Source organism: Homo sapiens, chromosome 6 (assembly GCF_000001405.40).
Source record: "Homo sapiens chromosome 6, GRCh38.p14 Primary Assembly".
NCBI classification, from domain to species: domain Eukaryota; kingdom Metazoa; phylum Chordata; class Mammalia; order Primates; family Hominidae; genus Homo; species Homo sapiens.
Genome location: NC_000006.12, coordinates 34438796 through 34449385, shown reverse-complemented (window position 1 = coordinate 34449385; position 10590 = coordinate 34438796).

Genomic DNA, 10590 nt, shown 5'->3' with positions numbered 1-10590 from the left:
CCTGTGGAATTTGACCTGAGGCAGAAAGTCAAATCTCCACCTTGAAGGGAGACAGTCAGGCACAGAAGACAGCAGGAGTGAGGCTCAGCGCCTGCTCTCCAATTTGCAAAGATCCAGTTCCATGGCTGAGGAAGTGGAACCGCCATATGGCATCAGCCTTGCCAGTGCTCCTAGCCAGCCCCAGAAAAAGAGCTGAGGCATCAGAGAGGAAAATGCCTGCCCTTCGGTCCATCAGAATGTCAAGTCCCCAGGCGATGGCTCTTCCCCACATGCACCCATGCACCTCCCCCCAGCCAGGAGGGAATAAAAGAATGGCTTTTGGAGTGGCCTTGATACGTCACATTATCTGCCTTCCCACCGCAGGCTGCAGGGAGCCATTATGCCAAGCAGATTAAGACTTTCAGGCCAGGCCGGGCGCGGTGGCTCACGCCTGTAATCCCAGCACTTTGGGAGGCCGAGGCGGGCGGATCACGAGGTCAGGAGATCGAGACCATCCCGGCTAAAACGGTGAAACCCCGTCTCTACTAAAAATACAAAAAATTAGCCAGGCGTAGTGGCAGGCGCCTGTAGTCCCAGCTACTTGGGAGGCTGAGGCAGGAGAATGGCATGAACCCGGGAGGCGGAGCTTGCAGTGAGCTGAGATCCCGCCACTGCACTCCAGCCTGGGCGACAGAGCGAGACTCCGTCTCAAAAAAAAAAAAAAAAAAAAGACTTTCAGGCCAGAGACAGGGAGGGCTGAGGCCCTGACACTCCATGCTGATCAAATGGGTCTGCAGAGCTGCCACCCACACCCAGGAGCATTATTTATGGTGCCGGCCACAGGGCTGAGTTGTGCTTTCCTCCTTCTCCATCTGGCCCTCCCTGGCAGGGCTCCCGGCTTGACTTACCACCGATAGGGCCGTATGCCCTGCCAGCCCTGGGAGAGCCTGCAAGAGACAAGGGTGGAGAGGAAAGATGGGAGTTAATTCCTTTCCACATTGCCAGTCCTGTGCCAACCCCTGTGCTCCCTATAGCCCCAGGTGGAAACTCCATACCTACGTGGAATCCCGTAGTGGACACACCAGGAATCCTTTCCCTCCCTCGCCCCACCCCTTAGCAACAGCTAAGGTATAGTATTCATTTGGCCTGCAGCAAGCTTCCTAAGGGATGGCACCTGCTTGGGCTCTGGGTCAGACAAGGCTGAGCTGGCATCTCTGAAGATGACACTATACACCCCTTTCTGCCTATGTGCACCTGCGGCTCCTCCCACTGGGAGGCGGAGTCTGTGTCCCTGCCCTTGACTCTGGGCTGGTCTTGCCACTTGCTCTCAGTACCAGAAGGCAGTGGGAGTGACCGCCTGACTTTTAGGAAACCTAGAAGCTTCTGCTTTTGTGCTTTCAGGGAAAGCCACCGCCATGCTTTTAAAAAGCTCAGATTACTGCATGACAGGGAAAGCTGAGTGAAGTTTTTGTGGCCCTTCCAGCCTAACCCAATGACCAGCTGAGTGAATGAGCCTAGCCATCTCCAGAAACCACTGGACAAGGTTTATAACACAACTGGTGACAAGCTATGTCCGCAAAGCCTAAAATATGAGTGAATGAGGACAAAACACTGACAGTCACAAGACTTGTGGGGGAGGAAGGAGAGGGAGGCAACCAGGGTAGCATCAGGTGGACCTGAAAACAGGAGGATCCTAAAATAGGCAGCAGACATTCAGGAGAAAGCTGGGCAGCGAGTTTGAGAAGAGCAGCTGAAACTGGGTGCAGCCAAGCGCAGGCAGCTTGGAGGGGCTGAGGCAGCATATGGGGTTGATCAAGCTTCTCTACATCCTGAAACAGACCCTCCAGGGCTCCCTGTTCTGTGCAGACAGGACCCGGCAGAAACCGCTGGCCATGGAATAAAATTAAGTAGCAGAACGGGGACCATAGAAACGCAGGCCAGAAAGGCCAGAAAACAGTGGATGTGTCAGTTATTTATTGCCTCTCGGTTTCAACCTCTCCCTCTTCTTCCTCATATCAGATGAGCTCCCAAATAATTACATCATATATATTTCCTACTTTTTTTTTTTTTGAAACAGAGTCGCCCAGGCTGGAGTGCGACAGTGCGATCTTAGCTCACTGCAACCTCTGCCCCCCCGGGGTTCAAGTGATTCTCCTGCCTCAGTCTCCCAAGTAGCTGGGACTACAGGTGCACGCCATCACGCCCCACTAATTTTTGTATTTTTTTCGTAGAGACGGGTTTCTCCATGTTGACTAGGCTGGTCTCTAACTCCTGACTTGAGGTGATCCTCCCACCTTGGCCTCCCAAAGTGCTGAGATTACAGGCATGAGCCACCGCGCCTAGCCTATATTTCCTACTTTTGTCCACCAAAAAGGCTAACCCAATGACAGTAGCATCCTCAGAGCCTGGATTGTAGTCTTGAAATATTGTTTCAACTGGGGGCTGGGCACAGTGGCACGCCTGTAATCCCAGCACTTTGGGAGGCCCAGGTGAGAGGATTGCTTGAAGCCAGGAGTTCAAGTTTGCAGTGAGCTATAATGTCCTAAAGCCTGGGCAACAGAGCAAGATCCCATCTCTTAAGAAAAAAAAACAATCAGGGCTTCTTGGCAAAATGCTTTGCTTCAAGTCTAGAGCAGGATCACCTTTACATACCAGCTTGCAAGGCAGCTCTCAAAGACTAATAGGATAATGTCAAAAAGACTCAGAAGCCAGTTTGAAGAGGCTCCCATTAGACCATGTGAGCTTTAATAAGGACAAGAATTGCAATGAGTTCAAATCAATCAAAGAGGTTTAAATCCATGGGTTCACAATGCTGTTAAAAAACAACTGGTCACCAATATATTTATCTTGAAAACTGGTAAATAAGTGAATCAAACATTTATCCTTCCTTCCCTATATGAACTAGACTTAAATAATAGATGAAGGAAAGCATCATCTTATAAAAATATTACAGGCTGGGCACAGAGGCTCATACCTGTAATCCCAGCATTTTGGGAGGCCGAGGCGGGTGGATCACCTGAGGTCAGGAGTTCGAGACCAGCCTGACCAATATGATGAAACCCCATCTCTACTAAAAATACACAATTTAGCCAGGCGTGGTGGTGTGCACCTCTAGTGTCAGCTACTTGGGAGGGCACCTGTAGTCCCTGCTACTCACGAGGCTGAGACAGGAGAATTGCTTGTACCCGGGAGGCAGAGGTTGCAGTGAGCCAAGATCACTCCACTGCACTCCAGCCTGGGTGACAGAGCGAGACTCCATCTCAAAATAAATAAATAAATAAATAAATAAAATGAATAAAAGAAAAAGAAAGAATAGAATTAGAATACCATAATTTTGCTGCCCCTAGTTAATTAATTAATGTAGGCATTAAGTCTCAATAGCCACTAACATCACCAAAAGACAGATGCTATGTGCCTCCTGCGTGAAGACCACACACCACCACCTAAAATGTTGCTAACAGGATCCAACCTGAGCCTGATCAGATCTCTGTGTCCAGCTGCCAATTCACCAGAAATGCAGAGAACAGAGGAACATGCTGAATTGCACCGGGAGTGTACAATTAGCAAAATCCAGACTATAGGAAACTCTACAGGTTATACAGCCCAGGTACTTTGACAAATCTGTTGTAAAGAATGGAGGGAATGAAGAGTGTGACCAACACACCCTAACTGACCCCCAGTGGATCCTGCCCTTGTGTAATCCCTTCCTCTTGAGTGTGGGCAGGAACTGTGAGTTGCTCCTGGCTCACAGAGTAGGGCATATGTGATGGGATGTGACTCACGTGCTCACCTTTTTTTATAGATTTCACCTTAACCGACTGTGGGGAGAGAAGCTCCTGCTAGTCTTGAAGAAGCAAACAGCCATGCCATGACCAGCTTATGGGGAGGGCCATGCAGCAGGGAACAGTGGGTGGCTTCTAGGATTCTGGGACCTGAGGGTAGCCTCCAACCAACAGCCAGCAAACATCTGGCTGTCATCAGTCATCCAACCACAAGGAAATTCATTCTGTCAACAACCTGAATGGGTTTGGAAGTGGATTCTTCCCCTCGTGAAACCTGTAGATGAGAATGCAACCCAGATAACAGGTTAATTTCAGCCTGTAAGTTCCTGAGCAGAGGACCTAGCTAAGCTGTGCCACAGCTTTTTGACCCACGGAAGCTTTGAGATGACAATTGTGGTTTGTTTTTTTGTTTGTTTGTTTGTTTGTTTGTTTTTTGAGACGGAGTCTCGCTCTGTCGCCCAGGCTGGAGTGCAGTGGCGCGATCTCGGCTCACTGCAAGCTCCGCCTCCCGGGTTCACGCCATTCTCCTGCCTCAGCCTCCCGAGTAGCTGGGACTACAGGCGCCCGCTACCACGCCCGGCTAATTTTTTGTATTTTTAGTAGAGACGGGGTTTCACCGTGTTAGCCAGGATGGTCTCGATCTCCTGACCTCGTGATCCGCCCGCCTCGGCCTCCCAAAGTGCTGGGATTACAGGCGTGAGCCACCGCGCCCGGCCTGTTTTTTTTTTTAATTCAGACAGGGTCTCGCTCTTTTGCCCAGGCTGGTCTCCAACTCCTGGGCTCAAGAGATCCTTCCACGCAGGCCCCACAAAGTGCTGGGTTTACAGGCATGCTCGGCCTTGTGAATTTCGAAAACTTTATTTGAATGACTTTTTGTTTTTTTGTTTGTTTGTTTGTTTTGAAACAGAGTCTCTCTCTGTTGCCCAGGTTGGAGTGCAATGGTGCGATCTCGGCTCACTGCAACCTCTGCCTCCCAGGTTCAAGTGATTCTCCTGTCTCAGCTTCCTGAGCAGCTGGGATTACAGGCATGTACCCCACACCCAGACACTTTTTGTATTTTCAGTAGAGACTGTTAACCAGGCTGTCTCCAACTCCTGACCTCAGGTGATCCACCGCCTTGGCCTCCCAAAGTGCTGGGATTACAGGTGTGAGCCACTGTGCCCAGCCTGAGCTAGTTTTTAAGTTAGAGAAAAGTTGCAAGCATAGTAGAGTTTCCTTATATCTTTCAACCTGCTTGCTTAGTATTAGTATCTAGTATCTTATATAACCAAAAATAGGAAGTTAATATTAGTACGTTATTATTATTATTATTATTTGAGACAGAGTCTTGCTCTGTCACCCAGGCTAGAGTGTGGTGGTGTGATCTCAGCTCGCTGCAACCTACATCTCCCGAGTTCAAGTGATTCTCCTGCCTCAGCCTCCCGAGTAGCTGGAATTACAGACATGTGCCACCATGCCAGGCTAATTTTTGTATTTTTAGTAGAGATGGGGTTTCACCATATTGGCCAGGCTTGCCTTGAACCCCTGACCTCATGATCTGCCTGCCTTGGCCTCCCAAAGTGCTGGGATTACAGGTGTGAGCCACCGTGCCGGGCCAATATTATTATTATTATTGAAACAGGATCTCGCTCTGTCGCCCAGGCTGGAGTGCAGTGGCACGATCTCAGCCCATTGCAACCTCTACCTCTCAGGCTCAAGCCATCCTCCCATCTCGGCCTCCTGAGTAGCTGGGATTACAGGCATGTGCCACTATGCCCATATAATTTTTATATTTTTTGTAGAGATGGGCCCTCACTATGTTGTACAGGCTGGTCTCGAATTCCCAGGTTCAAGCAATCCTCCTGCCTCAGCTTCCCAAAGTGCCAGGATTACAGGCATGAACCACTTCTTCCGGCCTCAATATTATTTTTATTTTCAAGACGGGGTTGCTCTGTCGCCCAGGCTGGAGTGCACTGGTGTGATCTTGGCTCACTGCAACCTCAACCTCGTGGGCTCAAGCAATTCTCCCACCTCAGATTCTCAGGGAGCTGGGACTACAGGCACAGGCCATCGTGCCTGGCTAGTTGTTTTTTCTATTTTTTCTAAAAGAGACAGGGTTTCACCATGTTGCCCAGACTGGTCTTGAACTCCTGGACTCTAGCAATCTTCTCCCCTCATCCTCCCAAAGTGTTGAGATTATAGGCATGAGCCACTGCTCCTGGCCAACAATATGATTAATTAAACTGTAGGACTTACTTGAATTTCGTGAATTTTTTACTAATGTCCCTTTTTGGTTCCAGGATGTGATCCGGAATCCCACTTTGCATTTAGTTGTCATTCCTCATTAGTTTCCTTCAATTGTAAGTCTTTGTTTTTTAATGACACTTAGCAAGCTTTGGGTTTTTGTTTGTTTTTGTTTTGTTTTGAGCAAGCCAAAATGATTTCATGATTTCTTAAAAAGAACAAAGTTGGAAGGCTTATACCACCTGATTTCAAGACTTTCTGTAAAGTTAGTGTTAAGAAACTGTGCTATTTGACCAGACGCGGTGGCTCACACCTGTAATCCCAGCACTTTGGGAAGCTAAGGCAGGTGGATCACAAGCTCAGGAGTTCGGGACCAGCCTGACCAACATGGGGAAACCCCATCTCTACTAAAAATACAGAAATTAGCTGGGTGTGGTGGCATGCGCATGTAATCCCAGCTACTCAGGAGGCTGAGGCCAAAAATAGCTTGAACCCAGGAGGCGGAGGTTGCAGTGAGCAGAGATCACACCATTGCATTCCAGCCTGGGCAACAAGAGCAAAACTCCATCTCAAAAAAAAAAAAAAAGAAAAGAAAAAAAGAAACGGTGCTATTCGTGTAAGGATAGACCCGTAAATCAATGGAACAGAAAAGGGAGTCCAAGAAGTAGATTCACAAATTCATGGTCTGTGGTGTATTGATTTTCAACAAAAGTGCCAAGCTAACTCGATGTGGTAATTCAATGTCTTTTCAACAAATGATGCTGGAAAAACTAGGTATCCCTTTTTTTTTTTTCTTTGTTTGAGACAGAGTTTTGCTCTTATTGCCCAGCTGGAGTGCAATGGCAGGAGGCCGAGGTGGGAGGATCACTTGAGCCCTGGGAATTTGAGGCTGCAGTGAGCTGTGATTTTGCCACTGCACTCCTGCCTGGGCAACAGAGTGAGACCCTATCTCAAAAAAAACAAAATTATAATAATAAAAAATAGTAAATTTGGCGAGGCGCGGTGGCTCATGCCTGTAATCCCAGCACTTTGGGAGGTCAAGGTGGGCAGATCACAAGGTCAGGAGTTCGAGACCAGCCTGACCAACACGGTAAAAGCCCATCTGTACTAAAAATATAAAAATTAGCCAGGCATGGTGGTGCACGCCTGTAATCCCAGCTACTCAGGAGGCTGAGGCAGGAGAATCGCTTGAACCCGGGAGGTGGAGGTTGCAGTGAGCCAAGATCACACCATTGCACTCCAGCCTGGGTGACAGAGTGAGACTCCATCTACTAAATTAATAATAATAATAATAAATTAGGCTTGATCAAAATGTAAAACCCTGGTCTTCAAAAGACACTGTCAAGAAGATGAAAAGCCACAAAGTAGCAGAAAATATTCATAATACATATATCTGAAAAAAGAACGGATATCCAGATTATATAAATAACTCCTACACTCAACAAAAAGACAAATGGCCCAGTTTTTAAAATGGACAAAAGACTGAAGAGTAGGCTGGGCGCAGTGGCTCACACCTGTAATCCCAACACTTTGGGAGGCCGAGGTGGTTGGATTGCTTGAGCCCAGGAGTTCAAAACCAGCCTGGGCAACGTGGTAAAACCCTTTCTCTACAAAAAATACAAAAATAGCAGAGTGTGGTGGTATGCACCTGTAGACCCAGCCACTTGGCGGGTTGAGACAGGAAGTTTGCTTGACCCCAGGAGGTCGAGGCTGCAGTGAGCTGTGTTCATGCCACTGCACTCCATCATGGGTGACAAAGTGAGCCCCTGTCTCAGGAAATAGAATGAGAGGAAGAGAGGAAGAGAGGGAGAGGGAGAGAGGGAGAGAGAGAGAAAGAAAGAGAGAGAGAGAGAGAGAAAGACTTAAACATGATTAAGATGGTACATTTTGTTTTATTTTATTTTTATTTATTTGTTTTTTATTTTATTTTATTTTTGAGATGGAGTCTCGCTCTGTCGCCCAGGCTGGAGTGCAGTGGTGCAATCTCGGTTCACTGCAAGCTCTGCCTCCTGGGTTCACGCCATTCTCCTGCATCAGCTTCCCAAGTAGCTGGGACTACAGGCGCCCGCCTCCACGCCCGGCTAATTTTTTTTTTTTTTTGTATTTTTAGTAGAGACAGGGGTTTCACCATGTTAGTCAGGATGGTCTGGATTTCCTGACCTTGTGATCCGCCCACCTTGGCCTCCCAAAGTACGGGGATTACAGGCGTGAGCCACTGCACTCGGCCTTTATTTATTTATTTATTTATTTATTTATTTATTTATTTTGAGACAGAGTCTTGCTCTGTCGCCCTGGCTGGAGTGCAGTGGTGCGATCTCAGCTTACTGCAGTCTCCACCTCCCAGGTTCAAGTAATTCTCCTGCCTCAGCCTCCTGAGTACCTGGGATTACAGGTGCGTGCCACCACTCTAGGCTAATTTTGTATTTTTAGTAGAGACGGGGTTTCACTATGTTGGCCAGGCTGGTCTTGATCTCTTGACCTCAGGTGATCCTCCTGCCTCGGCCTCCCAAAGTGCTGGATTACAGGTATGAGCCACCGAGCCCTGGAGCTCTTATATATTGCTGGTGAGAATGTACAATGGCACAGTGTGGTGTCATTTTACATATATATGTTAATATGCATTGGCTTCCTCCATGGTTCTGGGTTTGTAACTCCCACAGCCCTTGTTACAGTCTTCTGTTATAACGATGGGTGCTGTAGGCCAGGCGCGGTGGCTCACGCCTGTAATCCCAGCACTTTGGGAGGCTGAGGCGGATGGATCATGATGTCAGGAGTTCAAGAACAGCCTGGCCAACATGGTGAAACCCCATCTCTACTAAAAATACAAAAATTAGCCAGGTGTGGTGGCAGGCATCTGTAATCCCAGCTACTCGGGAGGCTGAGGCAGAGAATTGCTTGAACCCAGGAGGTGGAGGTTGCAGTGAGCTGAGATTGCGCCACTGCACTCCAGCCTGGGTGACAGAGTGAGACTCCATCTCAAAAAATATATGTATATAAAAAAAATAATGCTGGGTGCTGTAGGCCTCAGAAGCAGGCCTTAAGAAACAGAATCTCTTTGATTTTCTCCTGCCTTCTTTCACCTGCCCCAAGGCAGAACTCTAATCTTCCTCCACCTTTCTGACTGTAGGATTTAGGACTCTCATTGCAGAGAGGGTCCGCCCTATGCCCTGGAGGCCTTCATTTCAACAAGGTTGTCTATAAAAACCCAAGAGGACAGGGTTCAGAGAGCTTCTGGGTAGCTGAACACGTAAAGATTCCTGGAAGGTGCTGCACCTGGGGAGGGCCTAGAAGCTCTGTGCACCTTCCCCCAATACCTCGCCCTATGCATCTGTGTCTGGAGTTGGTTTCTTCTGGTGGGTTCTTGGTCTTGCTGACTTCAAGAATGAAGCTGCGGACCTTCGCAGTGAGTGTTACAACTTTTACAGGTGGCATGGACCCAGAGTGAGCAGCAGCAAGATTCATTGTGAAGAGCAAAAGAACAAAGCTTCCACAGTGTGACAGTGTGGAAGGGGACCCAAGCAGGTCGCCGCTGCTGGGCGGGGGGGGGGGGGGGGGGGTGCAGGCGGAAGCAGGGCTGGCAGAGGCTGGGGGGGGGTGGCGTAGCTTTTCTTTCCTTCTTTGTCCCCACCCATGTCCTGCTCATTGGTCCATTTTACAGAGTTATTGGTCCATTTTACAGAGTGCTGATTGGTGTGTTTACAATCCTTTAGACACAGAGTGCTGATTGGTGCATTTACAATCCTTTAGCTAGACACAGAGCACTGATTGGTGTGTTTTCACAGAGTGCTGATTGGTGCATTTACAATTCTCTAGCTAGACACAGAGCACTGATTAGTGCATTTACAATCCTCCAGCTAGATGGAAAAGTTCTCCAAGTCCCCAGTCGATCTAGGAAGTCCAGCTGGCTTCACCTCTCATCTTCAGTGGTATCTTTTGTAATAGCCTTTATAATGTTACTGGAAAACCAGACTCCATAAAGTAGTTTAAAGAGGTTTGTCCTTAGCCATTATGATTGTTCCCCAGGGCCTGTGGAAAGTGAGGAAGTGTACCCAAGGTGGTCAGGTTAGTGATGATTTATACATTTTAGGGAGAGGAATTGTAGGTAAAATCATAAATCAATGCACGGAAGGTGTACATTGGTTCAGCTGAAAGAGGTGGGACGTCCTGAAGGACAGATGAGCTTACAGGTCAGTGTGTCCAGAATTGGCTCCTTCTGGTGGGTTCTTGGTCTCGCTGACTTCAAAAATGAAGCCACGGATCTTGGTGGTGAGTGTTACAGCTCTTAAAGGTAGCACAGACCAAGCGTGAGCAGCAGCAAGATTTATTGTGAAGAGAAAAAGAACTAAGTTTCCATGGCACACAAGGCAACCCAAACAGGTTGCTCCTGCTGGGGCAGAGAAAGGGAGGTTGTGGGAGGCGGGGGGGTGTTCAAGTTTTATTCCCTTATTTGTCCCCGCCCATGTCCTGCTGATTGGTCCATTTTGCAGAGAACTGATTGGTCCATTTTACAGAGCACTGATTGGTCCATATTACAGTGTGCTGATTGGCACATTTTGCAGTATACTGATTGGTGCATTTTACAAACCTCTAGCTAGCCACAGAACAC